Below are 21,167 nucleotides of genomic sequence, written 5' to 3' on the forward strand. Positions count from 1 at the left end.
TTGGCTCATTGTAATGTGGATTTTTCAAATGCTAATAATATTTTATTGATAGACAATTTACATAGAGTAAAACACACGAATCTTAAATGTACAGCTTGAGAAATTTCAACAAATATAAACATCTATGTAAGATCACCCAAGTTGTAATACAGAGCTTTCTTATCACCCCAGAATCTTCCCTCATTTCCCTTTACTGTCAACCCCTTCCTCCTGCCAGAGGCAATCATAATGTGCTTGCTATCACTGGAGATTATTTCGTCTGGTTTTGAATTTTACGTAAATGGAATCATAAGGTATGCATTCCTTTTTTTGGTGACTAACTTCTTTCAACATAATGCATTTGATAGTTATCCAAGTTGTTGCATGTAGTAGTTCTTTGTTTTTTAAATTGCTGAGAGGTATTATATTATATAGGTATACCACAGTTCATTCATTTTCTTGCTAATTGATATTTGGATTATTTCCGTCTTTGGCTATTGTGAACAATGATACTATAGACATTCATATATACTTTTATAGACATTCATGTATGTTCTCTTGGGAACATACTCAGGAGTGAAATTTCTGAGTCATAGAATAGGTGCTATTTAACTTCGTTAGAAACTGCCACACTGTTTTTGAACGTGGTTGTGCTATTTGATATTCCCACTAGAAATATGTGAGAGTTCAAATTACTCTGTATCCTTGTCCACAACTTGATATTGTCTCTCTTTTAAAATTTGGCCACTCTGTTGGGTGTGTTGTGTTCTTTTCCTCTCCAGCCCCCATTTTAACACTTCTGAGGTTGAGATGCTTTTTAGAGTTAATATCAAAAGAAACTTACTAGCTGGAGTTAATATCAAAAGAAACTTACTAGGCAAGGAAATGAGTAGTGACAGATAAGAGGCTATCTTTGTTCATATCAAACTTGGAGTTCATAGAAGGAATCTGTTCATTGATTGTCACCTTGGCTGAGAGATTTGTTTGGTAGCATGATTTAAGATAAATGCAAATTAAACATGATATCTTAGTTCATTTGTGCTGCTATAAGAAAACACCACAGACTGGGTAATTTATAAAGAATGGAAGTTTGTTTCTCATAGTTCTGGAGGCTGGGAGTCCAAGATCAAGGTGCCAGCAGGTTCAGCGTTTGATGAGAGCCTGGTCTCTGCTTGCAAGTTGGCCCTTTGTTGTTGAATCTTCCAAAAGGGACAAACATTGTGTCCTCACATGCTGGTAGGGACAGAAGGGCAAAAGGGCCTAAAGCTAGTTTGTATCACCTCTTTTATAAGGCAGTAATCCTTATAATTAATCACTTCTCAAAAGGTCCCTCCTCTTAGCCATTAAGTTTCAACACATGAATTTTGGGGGAACCTTCATACCATAGCATGTGGATATCTCATTGTTGGTTTAAATGTCTTCAGAAATTCATATTATTGTGCAAGATTGAATCAAAAGTTATTGTATATATAAATTGCTATACATTGCAACTAAAGGCAGCAGAATTTTCTAAATGTTTTAGAATAGTTGATAGGGTTTTCTCAATTCTGAGAGGCTGGTATGACAATTCACGTGCTTGAACTTCGGGTTGACTTTAGAAAGAAGCTAGTAAACTTCCAGTGGCATATACTTCAGTTAAGAAAAATAGAAATAATGAGTTAACCAAATAGGAAATGAAGATGCAATCTTGCTATTCTTTGATTTTCTTGAAAGCATTTCTAAAAATGGTACATTTGAATGGCTTCAAAAGTAATAAAAGTAAACAGTTATCTCTTGCCCACCCTATCTCCTCCCTGGAAGCATCCAATGTTAGCAGTTTCTCGTGTGAGCTTTAGGAGATGTTCTATATAAATACAAGCAAATATGTACATTTTCTCTCACCTCTTCTTTTTCATTTCTTTTTTAAAAATACAAATGAAAACACATTAGGTATACTGTTCAATACTCTACTTTTCTCACTTAAAAATATGTTTTAATTTACTACACAATTTTACTACTATTCTTAACGTAGTGTCAAAGAGGTGAAGATTACAAGTGTGAGTCCGGGAAAGCTATGTGTTACCACAGTGCCCATAAAATTGCCCAAGGCCAAAAGCAATTCAGAAGAATCTTTACTCTCTGAAACAGGCTAAGTCCCAAACATTGCTTGGTGGGCTCAAGAAGAAAGAGGTATATTGTTATATAAGTAAAGGTAGACAGTTGTAAATTAAAAATCACGCACCTTTAATGTAATCTTTCTTTTTTCCCCTTGAAATGTTGCTACTTTGTTGATATGCACCTCTATTACCTTGGGGAAGATGAAATTTCTAGGAGTCCTTTTCTTGGTTCACTATCCAAATATTGTCTATTTCTGGTGTAGTGGTCCTGGAACCCTTTGAAAAACTGGTAAAAGCTATGGACTTTCATTCCAGAGAAATCCAGGTAGGTACACATAAATTTGACTTTAACTTTAGGGGGTTTATAGACTACCCAACGCTCATTGGTGGCAAATGTCCCTGACGTAAACACTTGGTTCTGATCTGACTGAAGAATAAAAATAGTTTGTGTTCTGTTGGAATTTTTAGTAATAAGCCTATTTTTTTCAGAAATTTTAGTAAATAAAAAGTTGATTGCATGGGGAACCTGGCACTAAACCATTCGTAGATGACCTACTTCTGGGTTGGGGTTTTGTACGTGGCAGAACGGCTTTCTTGCTGCGTCCTATTGAAAGTCAGCCCTCAACACGAGGGTTTGTAAGTTTTTAAAAAAAATTTTTCTAAATTAAAAAAAAGTCAGTTGCAAGTTTTTTGAGGGCATACATTAGACTTAATCAGCTTACAAATGATTTCCTTCTGCCATTTCCTCCCAAAATAATGTATTTTAGTTTGATCACTGTATTAGTCTGTTTTCATGCTGCTGATAAAGACATACCCCAGACTGGGCAACTTACAAAAGAAAGAGGTTTAATGGACTTACAGTTCCACATGGCTGGGGAGGCCTCACAATCATGGTGGAAGGAAAGGAAGGGCAAGTCACATCTTACTTGGATGGCAGCAGGCAAAGAGAGAGCTTGTGCAGGGAAACTCATGTTTTTAAAACCATCAGATCTCATGAGACTCATTCACTATCATGAGAACAGTGCAGGAAAGACCTGCCCCATAATTCAATAATCTCCCACTGCGTTCCTCCCGTGACACATGGGAATTGTGGGAGTTACAATTCAAGATGAGATAGTCTTAACTCGTGTCAACATTAACTCAAAAATTCACAGTCCGACATCTCATCTGAGACAAGGCAAACCCCTTCCACATAATTATGAGCCTATAAAATCAAAAGCAAGTTAGTTACTTCCTAGATACAGTGCGGTACAGGCATTGGGTAAATATAGCCCTTCCAAATGGGACAAATTGGCCAAAATTAAAAGGCTACAGGCCCCATGCATGTCTGAAATCTAGCAGATCAGTCAAATCTTAAAACTCCCAAATGTTCCCCTTTGACTCCAGGTCTCACATCCAGGTCATGCTGATGCAAGAGGTATGTTCCCACAGTCTTGGGCAGCTCGGCCCCTGTGGCTTTGCAGGGTACAGCCTCCCTCCCAGCTGCTTTCAAAGGCTGGCATTGAGTGTCTGCGGCTTTTCCAGGTGCTCAATGTGGGTTGTCAGTGGATCTACCATTCTGGGGTCTGGGGGACAGTGGCCCTCTTCTCACAGCTCCACTAGGTGGTGCCCTAGTAGGGACTCTGTGTGGAGGTTCTGACCCCACATTTCCCTTCCGCATTGCCCTAGCAGAGGTTCTCCATGAGGGCCCTGCCTCTGCAGCAAACTTCTGCCTGGGCATGCAGGCACGTCCATACATCTTCTGAAATCTAGGCAGAGGTTCCCAAACCTCAATTCTTGACTTCTGTGCACTTGCAGGCTCAACACCACATGGAAGCTGCCAAGGCTTGAGGCTTGCACCCCCTGAAGCCATGGTCCGAGTGCTACATTGACCCCTTGCAGCCACAGCTGGAGCAGCTGGGATGCACCAAGTCCCTAGGCTGCACACAGCATGGGGACTCTGGGCCCAGACCATGAAACCATTTTTTTCTCCTAGGTCTCTGGGCCTGTGATGGGAGGGGCTGCCGTGAAGACCTATGACATGCCCTGGAGAAATTTTCCCCATTGTCTTGGGTATTAACATTTGACTCCTCATTACTTATCCAAATGTCTATAGCAGGCTTGAATTTCTCCTCAGAAAATGGGATTTTCTTTTCTATTGCATTGTTAGGCTGCAAATTTTCAGAACTTTTATATTCTGCTTCCCGTATAAAAGTGATTGCCTTTAACAGCACCCAAGTAACATCTTGAATGCTTTGCTGCTTAGAAATTTCTTCCGCCAGATACCCTAAATCATCTCTCTCAAGTTCAAAGTTCCACAAATCTCTAGGGCAAGGGCAAAATGCCATCAGTCTCTTTGCTAAAACATAACAAGAGTCACCTTTGCTCTAGTTCCCAACAAGTTGTGCATTTCCATCTGAGACCACCTCAGGCTGGATTTCATTGTCTATATTATTATAAGCATTTTGGTCAAAGCCATTCAACAAGTCTCTAGGGAGTTCTAAACTTTCCTACCTTTTCCTGTCTTCTTCTGAGCCCTCCAAACTGTTCCAACCTCTGGCTGCTACCCAGTTTCAAAGTCACTTCCACATTTTCAGGTATCTTTTAGCAGTGTTCCACTCTACTGGTACCAATTTACTGTATTAGTCCATTTTCACACTGCTGATAAAGACGTACCTGAGACTGGGCAATTTACAAAAGAAAGAGATTTATTGGACTTATAGTTCTGCATGGCTGGGGAGGCCTCACAATCATGGCAGAAGGTGAAAGCCATGTCTCACATGGCAGCAGACAAGAGAAGAGAGAGCTTATGCAGGGAAACTACCATTTTTAACACCATCAGATCTTGTGAGACTCATTCACTATCATGAGAACAGTGCAAGAAAGTCCTGTGCCCATAATTTAATCACCCCCCACCAGGTTCCTCCCATGACACATGGGAGCTGTGGGAGTTACAATTCAAGATGAGATTTGTGTGGGGACATGGCCAAACCATATCAATCACTTAGACATTTTATACACAATCATGTACTTGTTAAGAGCATTTACTGTCAGAATGTCAGTGGGCAGGGGAGCTCTATGGTTTGAATGAGTCCTCCAAATTTTATGTATTGGAAACTTAACCCTCAAATTCTTATGCTGATTGAAGGTAGGGCCTTTGGGAGGTAATTAGGATTAAATAAGTTCATCAGGGTGGAGCTCCCCATTATGGACCTAGTGGCTTTATAAGAAGAAGAAGAGGGACCTGAGTTGACACACATGCTCTTGCCCTCTTGTCCTGTGATGTCCTCTGCCATGTTATAATGCAAGTAGAAGGTCCTCACCAGATGCCAGCACTATGCTCTTGGACTTCCCAGCCTCCAGAACTGTAAAAAATAAATTTCTTTTCTTTATAAGTTTTTAAATTACTCAGTCTTGGGTATTCAATTACAGCACAGAAAATAGAATAAGACGGGGAGCAAGATCTAACTCTGTTCTGCCACTTATCTAATACAGGACAGTTTAATATTTCTTATCTTCACTTTTTTCATTTGTAAAGTAAGGTTAATAGTACCTTCATGGTGTCGTGTAAGGGTTATATGGGACAATGAAGGAAAATCTGTGAGCACAGTGTCTGGCACAAATAAGAGTTCAGTTTGTGTTATCTGTCAATTCTCTCCTAATGACTAAGATTCTTAATATTTTGGAATTGTATTCGATGACTCTATATCACATTCATCATTATTTTAAAAGATAGGCAATTTGATCACCTTGAGACTGATTGAGAAGTTCAAGATCATAGAATGCCAAGTGGCAACATTGTATAATAGTTACCAACATGTAATTGGAGTTCTATTGGCCACTTGGGGGAATGGATTTTATAGGTATACTAGAAATGTTAAAGTTTATAGAACAGAATAATTATTGTAATAGTAACCTCAACATCTTGTATTCATATGTATGAGTCTCACTGCTAACTTCTCACCTCCCATTGCTATTAACCAAATGAGTTAAAAGGGATTCTAGTTATAAAAACAAGCTGAGAAATTTCCTAACATAATACATGCTTGTCTTTGGTTTGTTCTTATAATGTCTGAGAATTATTTTCCTTTTTCTTTATTTTTTGAGATGAAGTCTCACTCTGTCGCCCAGGCTGGAGTGTAGTGGCACAGTCTCGGCTCACTGCAACCTCTGCCTCCCAGGTTCAAGCAATTCTCCTGCCTCAACCTCCCGAAGCTGGGACTACAGGCGTGCGCTGCCACGCCTGGCCAATTTTTTGTATTTTAGTAGAGATGGGGTTTCACCATGTTGTCCAGGCTGGTCTCAAACTCCTGAGCTCAGGCAATCCACCCACCTCGGCCTCCCAAAGTGCTAGAATTATAAGTGTGAGCCACCATGCCTGGCCAATGTCTGAGAATTAAAAGAGGTCTTACCAGTATTCATCAAAACTTAGTTTTGGGAAATTTATTCACATTTACCCAAGATTCACTGAAAATACCATATCCCCACAATTTAGTAGATTCTCCCTATCTTTCTTATTCTAAAGACAAAACTTGTCCTGGAGGTCATTTTACTTTTTTTTTTTTTTTTTAACCTAAACAGGAAGCAGCCTTCTAAAATTAGCAGACCTTTTAAAAATTAAGCAGGCTTTTGCCAGGCTCACATTGCGTGTGTGTGTGTGTGTGTGTGTGTGTGTGTGTGTGTGTGTGTGTCTTTATTTCTGTATGTGTGCATGTATTCATATATGAATGTATGTATCTCTGTGTATCTTTTTGTGTGTTTCTGAATCTGTATTTTTTTCAGTCATCTTATGGCTGAGAAAAGGCACTAAGAAAAAAAGGTCTGAGAAGTCCATTCATCACTGGGATCTGCCTCTCTGCCTGACTAGTGGCTCCCCACAGAGTCTTAACAAGGTGCTGCTGAACCAAAGCTCTTCTCCCCCACCCCAAACCAATACTGAAAACACTATAATATGAGGCTGTTCTATCGTCTTCATTCCCAGGCTCTGCAGGACCTCCCCTCCCCCATTCATCTCTAGGCCCATCAGGGATGTGGGCAAAGGAAGCATTAAAATGGATAGATTGAGAGCCTTGTGAACACATCTATCTTCATACGTGTTGAATATTATGTCAATTATTCATCATTCACAGATATCATTGCAGGGAAAAATCACATTAAGAGGAGCCAGGAAAACTAAAGGTTATAAATTCCAATCCAGCATAGTCCCTAGTGGCTCTGGAATTCGGTGCCAGTTCCTCTGTGGTGATCTCATTGGAATGCAAGAGTCCCAGACCTTCTCTTAGGGATGTTTTTTCCCCAGCCTTACCCCCCATCAAGCATAGAGGTGGAAAAGAGTGAAATAAATCTGTAAACACAGTACTTCTAAGTTTCTTCTTAATTCTGACATCAACTTGAGTTTGATATGTGTGAAAAATATATTTTTCTCTCAGTTGACTCCTCAATGAAGTATTTTTTACAGCCCTAGATTATAATAAAAGTGGGCAATTGAGATGGCAAGAGGCACAAGATGAATATTAGAATGGTTGGCAGACAGATTCTAATATTCTGAATCTGGTGGGAGGGCACAGATTCTACCCTAGGCAGTGACTCAAGCTCTCCAAGCCTGACTTTCTTCATTTTGTGATTTAGGGATTATTCTGACTTCAGTGGCAAGTTGTGAAGAGTGAATTTGATAATCTAGATTGCATAACTCTGAGTCCCCTAACCTCATAAAGCTGCCTATTTTTTAATGCCACAGTTTGTGGGAGGGACACTGAACTGTTCTTCAGAGTTTCTGAGGATTCCTGGGTGAGGGGTGTGTGTCTCTGGAGGGCTCTGTGCTGTAGATGGTTCTCCTGGAGGCCTGGTCTGGCAGATACTGCTCCGCCTCCCTGTCTCCCTTCCTCCCACTAGATGTGACCCCTTTACTCCATTTGCTCAAAGAAGCACTAACCCAGGAACCATCTAACCATCTATTCACTCAGTAGATACTCCTTGAACTCCTACTATGTGCTATGGAGGAGCAGTTGTGAACCAGAGGGAAGCCCCTGCTCTCGTGAAGCCTGCATTCCAGTGGGAATGATGAAACGCAGGCACACGGGACATTTCAGGTACCGGTGGGTGCTGTGAGGGTGATGATGCCATGGAAGATGGGTAGGATGGGTGGTCAGGGAGGGCCCTTCCGAGGATATGACAGTGAAGGTAAAGAAAGAGCCAGTCACGTGAAGATCTGGGGAAAGAGTGTTCCAGGCAAGGGAGCTGTGAGTTCAAGCGTGGTAGGATAAAGAGACCGGGTCATTCAACAAACATGAAAGGAGAGAGTGTGGCAGGAAAGCGTGGTGTGAGATGATTAGAGAAGTGTGCAGTCCAGAGCTAAGAGTTCATAATAAGAAATTTGGATTGTATTCTAAGTACAGCTGGAGGATTTTATGTGGATGCTTGACATATTTTGGTTTATGGTGGTGGTGGGAAGGTCACTCTAGTTGCTGTGTGTGGACTAGGTTGTAGTTGTGGGGAGGAATGGGAGCGGGAAGGGCAGTTGGAGGCTTCTGCAGTGGTTAAGGTGAGAGATGACGGTGGCTTGGACCAGTGTAGTTATCAGTGGCATGATGGCAATAAATAGATGGGGTCACGAGTTTTTCTGGAGGCTCTGGAATTTGGTGGCCAGGTCTTATGTGTACAGAGAGAATCCGCCCATGGATTCAGTGTGGGCAAGAATGGAGTGAGGGAAACTGAGGATGGCTCCTAGGTGTTTTATGGGTTTTAGGTTTTGGCTACCCTCAAATCTAGAAAAATTTGGCAATTTCGGCTCACATAATATATCAGCCTTTTTCTGCCTTGAGGATTTTCTCATTAGCTATGTCTCTCCATGAGCCTCTCATCTTTTCTATGCTCTGGGCTTTCTCTTCTTATGTTCTCTGTTTTGTGGGCTGAATATTTTTGAGCAGGGATGGCATTATTTAGAGCTTTTTATTGGTAGCCTACTGAGTGCTCAAACCTGTGCTAGTCCCTATAGGGAATATGGAAAGACTTCTTGGAGCCATTATTATGCTAGTGTCCATTGTGATGCTCCTGGCAAGGGCATTCTCCTATTCCTATGACCACAGAGCTTCCCCTTCCCCTTTGCCCTGAAGATTCTCTCATGGGACTAGTGTTTCATTGAATAACATGTTGGTTATGTGTAGCATGCTGGTTACGTGTAGCATGCTGGTTATGTGTAGCATGCTGGTTATGTGTGGCATGCTGGTTACGTGTAGTGTGCTGGTTACGCGTAGCATCCTGGTTATGTGAGGCATGCTGGTTAGGAGCTCTAGGCTCAGGATCTTGATTCTGCCCTCTTTGGTTGCATGAGCTGTGCAAGCTGCTTAACATCTTTCAGGCTAACTTTCTATATTTGTAAAATGGGAAACAGACTTCTTAGGAAGATTTTAAGAGATGTCTTACAGGACCTGGCAGATATATGCTCAATAAAAAGTAAACTAGCTGGTGTTGCTGCTGTTGCTCTTACTGTTGTTTTTATTGACTTGAATAAAGGAATCTTGCACCTGTCAAAATGAAACACTACATAGTAGGTCCTGATATTTTGCCATACTCAGCTGGTGATAAGAATCAGAGAAGCCAGCCATTTGAATAACTATGATTTATTGAATTCTTACCATGTTCTAAGTTCTTTATGTATACTGTTTCGTTTAATCTTCACAACAATTCTAGGAGTCAGGTTCAATTGTTATTGCCATTTGATAGATGATGAGGGCAATGAGTCTTAGAGAGGTTAAATAATTTGCTAAAGGCCACACAGCCTGTAAAGTGGCAGAAGCTGGGACCATCCAACTCTAAAGCCCACATTCTTAGACATTAGGGGATATTGAATGAAGTGTGTGTATGTATGGGGGAATTTAAGAGAATATCAAACCATTTGTAGAGTTCTACCCAATATAGAGACCTTATCTAATGTAAGAGAACTCTGAAGACATCTCATTGATTGAATGCTCTCCCCTTCATAGCAACTTCTTCTGCGGCTTCCTTGCCTGGTGCTCCAGTCTTTGAGGTATGCTTGATGGTTCTGAATTCAGATTTGAATCATGTGTCTGCCTGGTTTTTGTACCCTTGGACAGCAAACTTAATCGCCAAGGCTCAGTTTTCTTCCCTTTTTTTTTTTAAAGTGGTTATAATGGTATCTATGCCACAGGCTTGTGGTAAAACTTAGTCTGATGAGATCTGATACATGCTGATGTTTATTGGGCACTTAATATTATTATTAGTGAAACCTGGCTAAATATAACTCTTTGATGAATGTATGTAATTTCAGGGAGTTAGTTTTACTAAAGTACTTGAAAATGTTAATTGATCTAGGATACTTTTATTTCATAGACAACGTATAGGTAAAGTCAATAACAGTTATTTTAGATTTTGTGAATTCTAGGGTAGTAGCATTAGAATGGAAGTTTTATTTCTTTTAATTGGACTACAGCCACCATTCCATAAATCTACTGCACACCTTAAGTCACCCAGTGCTCTTGCATTCATCTTTGTTCATTGCTTGGATGTCAAGCAGTCTGCCTGGAGCTGCTTATAGAGGCCTAAATTTAGAATCTGCCTACCTATAAATAAGGTCCAGAAAGATAGATGACTTCGGTCACCTGAAACTGTTATTAGAAAACACATAGACTAACCTATCAAGGGAATGAGAGGGAGGACAAGAGAGGTAGGCCTAGGGAGAGGGAGGACAGAGCTTAAAAGGAGGGGTTGTGATGGATTGTTTAGCACCTGTAAACAAAGAACTGTGCCTGGGGCTCTCCTGGCTGTTGGAAATCCAGCCCAAATGTTCAATGACTCACTCAATCGTTGTTCAGCTTGTTTAAGTCCATGCCATTTGTACATATGATGGGATTTTATGAGACATTTTACAACAATTCCCCACCAGTGTTTGGGGAAATCATGTCATAAGATTCAACCTTCTTTCTTTTTCCATTCTGAGATGGTTTCTCCTAAAATAGCTTTTATGTGCCCTGAGCAGTTGGCTACTCTGTTTCTACTAAGAAATACAGGCTGGCCTCACTGAGCAGGAGGCCCTTGCATTTGATTTTCAGAAGAGCACATGTATTTGAAAGGATTTCATTGTCCTTTGTGCCAGGAAGCAACAATGTCTGAGTCAGACTCTTCTGGGTGACCAAAAGAAAGACTCACCTTATTGTTTTGTTATTCTTTATAGGTGGTTAAGGGTATAAGCTTTGTAGTAAGATGCATTTGGATTCATGCTCTGCCTTCATGTCTCCCCAGCTCTTATCTTGGGCAAGTTAGAAACCTCTTGGAACTTATTTGTCCATCTAAAAAATGGGGATGATAACGTCATCTCATAGGTTTGTTGTGAGGGTATTTAAAATACTTAGCAGTGCCTGGCACAGAGTTAACCCCTTAATAAATGGTATTGATTATAAGTATGAGGCTGTCTTCTCTGCCTCACCTTTCTCCTTGTCTTATCTAGTAGTTTTGAGTGGCTGGTCTGTGTTTCCTTGTCATATATGATTTACTTCCTTGCATGTATCACTCTCTGAAACTATCTTATTTAAAATGTTTGTTGTTTCTCCCCTCCCACTATGATACAAGCATCATATGGCAAGCCTTTGTGCATCTGCTCATACTTGCCCACTCAGGGAGAGCACTGAGTATGCTCTCCATACATAATTATTGACTAACTCCCTTATCTGTTTCAGTAACTTTTCTTTCTTCTCCATGATTCCAATATTAAAAAAACCTTTTATTTTAGAATTGAGGGTCTAGACAAGGATGAGAATGAAAAGGTAATCATTGTTTTGGATTGGTTTGAGGTGGAATCTCAGTTTAGAAGAACTTCTTGGGGAAACTAGGATGAAGACCAGTGGGGCTTTCCCCTCCGCCCCTGTCAGAGATTGGTGTAAGTATATTCATTAGGACTCTAGTTTCAAGGCCCATAAAATTCACTGAGCAAACTTAAGCAAAAAAAGAGGTGTTCATTGTAAGGACTCAGGAATGTTTTTAGGAACTGAAGGGAATGGATGTCATCAGGCCCCAGGAATGGGTTGGAAATAGGAATTCTTTCACAAACATCTGTTTCTGCCTTTTCGCTCTGCAGATCCACTTTTGCCTCTCTAAAATCCAGCATTTTTCAAACTATCTGTGCTAACACACAGTAAAAATGAGTTATACTAAAATGAAATAAAATAAGTCCTGATTTTTTTATTATTAGATTCCACAGACATAAAATTATTCTGTTGAAGTGCTATAAAGGTTCCTAAGTGCTTCCTTACTCTCAGTATCTGTCCTTAATTCCTCGTGGACTGGTAACAGATGGCTTGTAAGCAGGCATGACTGCAGTTTACGCAGCAAATGTGGATCACTTACCCCTCATGCTCAGATCCGCACCCCTCCACAAGAAACCAGACCAAACTGAACAGTGATCTTTTAGCCTGCAAGTGTGATTCAGGCTTTGCTCAACGGTCTTTCATAATACTCTTGTCTATGCAGCTATGGCCACTAGGTGGGGGCAAAGAATAAAAACATGGCAGCCAGGGGTGTGTCCTTGTTGGGGCGGGGGAAACACTGTTAAGGGGTGAGCCGAGTGAACACCGGAAAATGGGTCTACGTAGGGAGGTTTTCAGCACTACTGATTCTATTTCTTCTGAAAACATGTCATTAAAAGACTTGTGATGCCTGGTGCAGGGGTACACTAATGGAAAGGCTTTGGTTTAAGAGACTTAGGCCAATTCAAGTCCAGCTTAAAAATGCAGAAAGTTACTGTGATATGGTAATTGCATGGATGAACTGTAAGCCATTAGAGATGAGTGATCAAGAGTGTGGACTTCAAACTGGGCATGGTGACTCACACCTGTAATCCCAGCACTTTGGGAGGCTGAGGCAGGCAGGTCACCTGAGGTCAGGAGTTTGGGACCAGCCTGGTCAACAAGGCAAAACCCTGTCTCTACTAAAAATACAAAAATTAGTTGGGCATGGTGGCGCACACCTGTAATCTCAGCTACTTAGGAGGCTGAGGCAGGAGAATCGCTTGAACCTGAGAGGTGGAGGTTGCAGTTAGCTGAGATTGTGCCACTGTACTCCAGTCTGGGCCACAGAGTGAGACTCCATCTGAAAAAATAAGTGTGGAACTTCAGGTTGGAATCTTTTCTCTCTATTTGTGTGTCCTTAGGCAAGACATTGGCTTCTCTGAGCATCAGTTCCCTTAGCTTCAAAATGAGCATAATCATTTCTTAGAGTTTTGGTAACTCACTCAGCAACTATTTTGTGGAGCACTCAGTAGCATCCAGATACTGGGCTAACACTGAGGGTGCAGTAGTGAACAAGAGAGAAATAGTTTTGCCTCTCCTCGGACCACAGGACATTATAGCAGAGCAAGCTTTGAATAATAATAATAATGACAGTAATAAAGTACTGTGATCAAACATAAGATATGGTCAAGCACAAGTGTCAAAGCTCATATGTCAAATCTTTTAGCAATCCTGATTCTGATTTAACTAATATCTGAATAATATTTACTATTTAGAGTTCGTAATCCTCTGAAGCCAGCTTTGTCCACATGTCATTAGAATTTTGCTTATGGATTTGTTTCCTTCCTCAGTTTTCCTATGTATTCTTTATGTGTAATCAAATGCATCATTTACTTTTTCTTTTTTTGAGACAGAGCATTGCTTTGTCACCCAGGTTGGAGTGCAGTGGCACAATCTCAGCTCAGTGCAACCTCCACCTCCTGGGTTCAAGCGATTCTCCTGCCTCAGCCTCCTGAGTAGCTGGGATTAGAGACATGAGCCACCACGCCCAGCTAATTTTTGTGTTTTTAGTAGAGATGGGATTTCACCATGTTGTCCAGGCGGGTCTCCAACTCCTGACCTCAAGTGAGCTGCCTGCCTCGGTCTCCCAAAGTGCTAGGATTACAGGTGTGAGCTACCGCGCCTGGCCCATTTACTTTTTCCAGAAGGTTTTAAATCAAGAAGGTGAAGAAAAAGCCTCTACTGAGAGATAATAAGGCCAAATTTATCCATTTGTTTGTTTGTCCGTTTGGTGTTTATGGAATATCTTTTGGTTGTTTGGCACTGAGGACATGGAGGTAAAATGACCACTTTTCAGTAGGAGGACAAATATTTAAATATGTAGGTGTCAATATTGTGGGGTTAGGCATTATAATAGAAATTATGATAGGTAAAATTCTTTTGTGTGTGTGTCTTTTTTTTTTTTTGTAGAGAAAGGGTCTTCTTGCTGTGTTGCCCAGGCTGGTCTCCTGGCCTCAAGTGATCCACCTGCCTTGGCCTCCCAAAGTGCTGGAGTTACAGGTGTGAGCCACTGCACCTGGCCGTGGGAGGCAAAATTCTGAGATGGCTCCCAGATTTCCTGGTGCCTTGGTGTATGCCCTCCCCTCTGCATCTGCATTCCCTTCCTCTTGAGTGTGGGTGGGACCTGTGAACATGATGGGATATTACTTCTGTGTTTAGGGTACTAACCAGTTGACTTTGAGTTAACAAAAAATGGCATTATTCTGGATGAACCAGACCTAATCAAGTGAGCCCTTAAAAGGGACTGAGCCCTTCCTGAAGTCAAAAGGGAGTCAAAGTGTGAGAGAGAAACTTTCCTGTTGACCTGGAAGATACAGACTTCATGAGCTCTATAAGTGCAAGAAAATGGGTTATCAAGTTCCATGTTAGCTTGGAAGAAGACCCCAGATCTAGCAACCTTGTGAGCAGAGGACTTAGCTAATCTTTACTCAGACTCCTGACCCAGGGAAACTGTGAGATAATAAGTCTGTGTTGTTTAAAGCCACTAAATTTGCAGTAATTTGTTACATGGCATAGAAAATGAATACAGAGGTATATATAGATAGCCATGACAGAATGACCTTTCTTAATTGTGCAAACAGATCTCTGCTGGACTATGTGGGACTGTGAATCAAACTGAAACTTCTGGATGCAGGTGGATTGTGAAATTTGTGAAGTATGAACTGTTGGTAGATTAAGGTCAATGGCAAAGAAACCAAGCATTTGAAGACTATTTCACGGATTATATATTTGTATTGTTTTAATTACATTAATATTTAATAATTTTATATGCTCCATATAGTGCCGGGTGGGGGTAAAGGGAAACAATGCAAAGATGTGTAACACAGACCTTGCCCTGAAGAAACTTGTTCTTTATTCAAGGAGACAGTTGTGTCAGCTGGCTACATTACAATAACTCCAAATGGAGATCTAAACAATTTACTGGGAAAGTATAATTCAGTCTGAAATGAGTTAGAAAAGCCTCCATTTGTTGCATTTGAACTAGGGCTTGAAGGATGTCCCCACTGATGCTGCTGGTTGCCTTTCTAAAAGCCATTTTCTGCTTCTTTCCTGGAAGAACTCTGATGTTTCTGGGGTTGGGGGTGGGGTGGCGGAATCTGTGTTTCTCCAGCATGACTCAAAGATTGATCCTGTTTGGCCTAAACCATGGGGTGGCTGACTGGGCCAAGCAGTCTGCCACGTGTTTTTGCAAATGAATTTTATTGGAACAAGTCACCCAGTGGTTTATGTATTATTGATGGCTATTTTCGTGCTACACAGGGAGAGTTAAGCAGTTGTGGCAGAGCCCATATGGCCCACACAAACTAAAATATTTACCATCTAGCCTTTTACAGGAAAAGTTTTTTGACCTCTGGTGATATGGTTAGGCTTTGTGTCCCTACCCAAATCTCATCTTGAATTGTAATCCCCAGGTGTTGAGGGATTACACCCTTGTGGGAGATGATTGGATCATGGGGGTGGTTCCCCTCATGCTGTTCTCATGATAGTGAGTGAGTTCTCATGAGATCTGATAGTTTTATAAGGCAGTTTTCCCTGCTCTTTCCCATGTGCTCACATTCTCTCTCACCTGCCTTCATTGAAGTGAGATGTGCTTGTTTCCCCTTCCACCATGATTGTAAGTTTCCTGAGGGCCTCCCTAGCCATGCAGAACTGTGAGTCAGTCAAACCTCTTTTCTTTATAAATTACCCAGTCTTGGGCAGTTCTTTATAGCAGCATGAGAACAGACTAATACACCTGGTCTAAGTCATCATGATAATTTCAATCCTCTTTTCAGTGCCTGATTTAGGAGTGGGAATGCAACACAAATTGGCCAAGGAAATAGGATGGGATCGTTGCTGGGTTTTTTTTAATAGACAAAAAGAGGCTTTCAAGAAGTTCCTGCTTCTCCTGCTAGATGTGTTTTTGACTGGATGTGATATTTCAAACTGCTAAAGCCTTTGTGACCTTAATGAGAATTAGCCTGAGAACAAGAGCATGTACTGAGGATATCAGATTGATACCTTGAAAATAACTTTTGTCTCTGACAGTGTCTTTGAGTTGCCAAATTAGCCATCTCTGGAGCCATCTTATCTCCAGACTTTTTATTCTGTGGTGTAATAATTTTCAGTATTGTGCAAGCCAGTGGAGTCAGGGTCTTCTTTATTTTTTAATTTTTTTAAGGGTCTTCTTACTTGCAGTCAGGATCAGTCATAGTGATTCTGATTTCATTGATTTCAGTAAATGGGGAAGGAGGAAAGGATGCTACAAGTTTAAGAAACAGCATGAGCAAAGTCCTAAAGCATAAATGAATATAGCTTGGCTGGGTATAGCAAGTATTTGCAGGACAGGTAACAGGGCATGTGGGGGGAAACAATGGGAAACTTGGAATCAGACTGTAAGAGAGCTAGAATGTGAGACTAAAGATTTTAAGATTTTGGAAATTTATGAGCAATAAGGTGTCATTGGAGCTTTTTGAGGAAGAAAGTAACCTTTTTCAACTCATATTTAGGAAAGTAACTGTAGATGCAGTGTAAAGGAGTGGTCCCCAACCTTTTTGGTACTAGGGTTCAGTTTCGTGGAAGATTATTTTTCCATGCGAATTGCGTGGGGCAATGGTTTCAGGATGAAACTGTTCCAACTCAGATCATCAGGCATTAGATTCTCATAAGGAACATGCAACCTAGATCCCTCGCATGCACAGTTCACAATCTTACTCCTATGAGAATCTGATGCCTCTGCTGATCTGATAGGAGGTGGAGTGCAGGCGGTAATGCTTGCTTGCCCACTGCTCACCTCCTGCTGTGTGGCCTGATTCCTAATAGGCCACAGACCAGTACTGGTCCATGGCCCAGAGGCTTGGGGACCCATGGTGTAAAGAATGGATCAGAGTGGTATAAAGTATAGGTTAGTGAAGATAGGCTTCCTTTTGCTTCACTGAATACCACTAGCCTAGAGCAAGACCTCTAGCTAGAGTAAGTCATTAGCCAGAGTGTGGTCCCTAAAACAACCGTATCAGAATCACCTGGGAACTAGTTAGAAATCCAAATTATCAGGTTCCACCCCAGAACTAGTGAATCAGAAACTCTGGAAGTGGGACCAACCAATCTTTTATCAAGCCGTCTAGGTGATTCCAACACACACTCAAGTTAGAAAACCACTGCTCCAGGCAGTTCATAGACAGCTGTAGAATAACTAGGGAGGCTTTCTTAACAAAGCGATGGCATCTCTATTTATCTCAGAGGAAGGTACAGAGTAGTTTTTCAGGGAAGTTGTAATAGTATTTGTACCATGTGGGTTAAGAATTGGGGAAGTATGGAATATTGCTAGCAATACACTAATTATATTTTTGAAGAAAAAAGAAAGTATTCCTGTCTTGTGCTGGCTTTAAAGGGGGAATGCTTCCAGCTTTTGCCCATTCATTATGATATTGGCTGTGGATTTGTCATAAATGGCTCTCATTATTATGAGGTATGTTCCTTCAATACCTAGTTTATTAAGAGTGTTTAACATGAAGGGATGTTGAATTTTATAGAAGGCCTTTTCTGCGTTTATTGAGATAAGCATGTGGTTTTTGTCCTTAGTTCTGTTTATGTGATTAATTATGTTTATTGACTTGCATATATTGAATCAGTCTTGCATCCCAAGGATGAAGCCAACTCGATCATGGTGGATAAGCTTTTTTATGTGCTGCTGGATTCGGTTTGCCAGTATTTTATTTAGGATTTTTGCATCGATGTTCATCAGGGATATTGGTCTGAAGTTCTCTTTTTTGTTGTTGTTGTATCTCTGCCAGGTTTGAATATCAGGATGATGCAGGCCTCATAAAATGACTTAGGGAGGACTCCTTCCTTTTCAATTTTTTGGAATAGTTTCAGAAGAAATGGTACCAGCTCCTCTTTGTACCTTTGATAGAATTCAGCTGTAAATCCATCTGGTCCTGGGCTTTCTTTGGTTGGTAGGCTATTTATTACTGCCTCAATTTCAGAACTTATTATTGGTCTATTCAGGGATTCAACTTCTTCCTGGTTCAGTCTTGGGAGGGTGTATGTGTCTAGTAATTTATCCATTTCTTTTAGATTTTGTAGTTTATTTGCACAGGTGTGTTTATAGAATTCTCTGATGGTGGTTTATATTTCTGTGGGTTCAGTGGTGATATCCTCTTTATCATTTTTTGTGTCTATTTGATTCTTCTCTATTAATCTAGCCAGAAGTCTATATATTTTATTAATTTTTTCAAAAACCCAACTCCTGGATTTATTGAGTTTTTGAAGGTTTTTTTGTGTCCCTATCTCCTTCAGTTCTGCTCTGATCCTGGTTATTTCTTGTCTTCTGCGAGCTTTGAAATTTGTTTGCTCTTGGTTCTCTAGTTCTTTGAGTTGTGATGTTAGGACGTCGATTTGAGATCTTTCTAGCTTTTTAATGTGGGCATTTAGTGCTAGAATTTTCCCTCTTAACACTGCTTTAACTGTGTCCCAGAGATTCTGGAATGCTTTCACACTGTTGTTGGGAATGTAAATTAGCTCAACTATTGTGGAAGACAATGTGATTCCTCAAAGACCTGGAACCAGAAATACCATTTGACCCAGCAATCCCATTACTGGGTATATACCCAAAGGAATATAAATAATTATATTATAAAGATATGTGCACATGTATGTTCATTGCTGCACTGTTCACAATAGCAAGGACATGGAATCAACCCAAATGCCCATCAATGATAGACTGGATAAAGAATATGTGGTACATATACACCATGAAATACTATGCAGCTATAAAAAGGAATGAGATCATGTCCTTTGCAGGGACATGGATAAAGCTGGAAGCCATTATTCTCGGCAAACTAACACAGGAACAGAAAACCAAGCACCATTTTTCTCGTTTGTAAGTGGGAGCTGAACAATAAGAACACATGGATACAGGGAGGGGAACAACACACACTGGGGCCTGTTGAGGGTGGGTGAGGAAGAGCATCAGAAAAAATAGCTAATGCATGCTGGGCTTGATACTTAGGTGATGGGTTGATAGGTGCAGCAAACCACATTGGCACATACTTACCTATGTAACAAACATGCACATCCTGCGCATGTACCCCAGAGCTTAAACAAAACAAAAAACCTTCACATTAACACCTGCGGAGTACTGGCTGATGACTTGGCTTTAAGTCTATTAATAGCTGGCCTTGTCATCTAAGTTGAAAGGGCTTACAAAAATCTGAACCCCTTTGAAATAAATAAGGTGAATGAGGGTCAAAAAGAAAAAGAAAAAACAAAGTATTAAGGTTACTGGCTCATTTGTATTCTGAATTTAAAAGCCCCTTATTTTATGAATGTAAAACACATCAAGTTAATTATTCCCTTGTTTTTCCACTGTAGATTAATGACGTTACATACATCAGTGACACTGTACATTTTAAAGTCTATTAATTTTATCACTTCTTGGGTCAGAGGAGAAACTTGTTCTTTAGCAGCCTCTGCTGACCTCTTTCAGGAAAATATTTATTGAGCACCTTCTTGAAGAAAGTCAGTTTGTAAAGATAAAAGAACTGTAGAGTGCTCCTGATATGGTTTGGCTGTGTCCTCATCCAGATCTCATCTTGAATTGTAATTCCCATAATCCTCACATGTCATGGGAGGGACCTGGTAGGAGATAATCGAATCATGGGGGCAGTTTCCCCCCATGCTGTTCTCGTGATAGTGAGCAAGTTCTCATGAGAGCTGGTGGTTTTATAAGGGGCTTCCCTCTTCGTTAGGCATTCATTCTGTCTCCTGTCACCCTCTAGAGAGGTGCCTTGCACCATGATTATAAGTTTCCTGAGGCCTCCCCAGCCATGCAGAACCATGAGTCAATTAAACCTCTCTACTTTCTAAACTACCCAGTCTTGGGTATTTCTTCATAGCAGCATGAGAATAAACTAATACAGCTCCCAAGTTTTTCTGCAAAGTATATGGGTTTGAAATAGAATGGAGTTTCACAAGTGAGGAGTTAGAAAAAGAGACCACACACCTAAGAATGTCTGTTTTTTTTGGAAAATTTTTATCTATTACAAAATATACTAGGAGGATGTTTACAAAGCTCATTAATATTACTGGAGATCAACTTTTAGAATTCTTGAACTAAAGCAGGGATAGAGAAGTTTCATTTCATATGCTGACTTTGATTGAACAGTAAAGATTGCTTAGAGTCCTGTTTTTGGGGAAAAACATGTCTGAGGCCCTCTCTGGGCTCAATGAGTGAGAATTCTGTGATTGATTGATTTCTGTGATGGGTGCTGAAATGAGAGAAGTTACGTTATAAGCATTAGGTGAATTGTCATCCCTGCCTTGATTTCCCTCATTTAGTCAGATGGGATGACTTTAGTTATAAGACAGAAAATCAACTCAGACTAATTTAAGCATAAAAGGAAATTTATTATCTCAGGTAACTAAATAGGCTGGGCTAACGGCTTTTAGCTCATTTTGATCTGGGAGTCAAATGACACGGGACTGGGTTTCTGTCTCTTGGCACCTTTGATAATGATCATGATGATAATGGTAATAACAGCTAACACATATAGTACTTCAATGTTTCAGATGCTTTTTATAAGCACATTACATTTACTAATTCACTTAACCCTCAAAATGAGTCTATGAGGAGGTGGTAGTATTATCACTTGCATTTACAGTGGGGAAAGTGAAGCATAGAGAGATTAAGTAACTTGTTCAGGAGTGTGCAAATGATGGACTCAGGATTAGTATCCATGTAGTCTGTTTCTAAAGCCCATGTTCTAAACCAGGCTTAGGCAAACTATGTCCTGTGTGCCAAATCCTACCTGTGCCCATTCTTGTAAAAAAATTA

General features: G+C 40.6%; 1 long non-coding RNA gene across 2 annotated transcripts in view, besides 1 other annotated feature; it reads left to right on the forward strand.

Moving 5' to 3' along the window:
- Positions 6,784-7,439: an enhancer, noted in NCBI's record as "OCT4-NANOG hESC enhancer chr5:145939738-145940393 (GRCh37/hg19 assembly coordinates)". NCBI's record gives its function as "activates a minimal SCP1, AML or CMV promoter by ChIP-STARR-seq in primed H9 embryonic stem cells {active_cell/tissue: H9 hESC(primed)}" and the evidence as "EXISTENCE:reporter gene assay evidence [ECO:0000049][PMID:30033119]".
- The window catches only part of PPP2R2B-AS2 (PPP2R2B antisense RNA 2), a 59,059-nt gene continuing 47,726 nt past the window's right edge, over positions 9,835-21,167 (forward strand). For both annotated transcript variants that reach the window (NR_188288.1, NR_188289.1), the window contains exon 1: positions 9,835-10,080. This is a non-coding gene — a long non-coding RNA (PPP2R2B antisense RNA 2). The remainder of the gene's footprint in view (positions 10,081-21,167) is intronic.

The sequence above is a fragment of the Homo sapiens genome, chromosome 5 (assembly GCF_000001405.40).
Source record: "Homo sapiens chromosome 5, GRCh38.p14 Primary Assembly".
Taxonomy (NCBI): domain Eukaryota; kingdom Metazoa; phylum Chordata; class Mammalia; order Primates; family Hominidae; genus Homo; species Homo sapiens.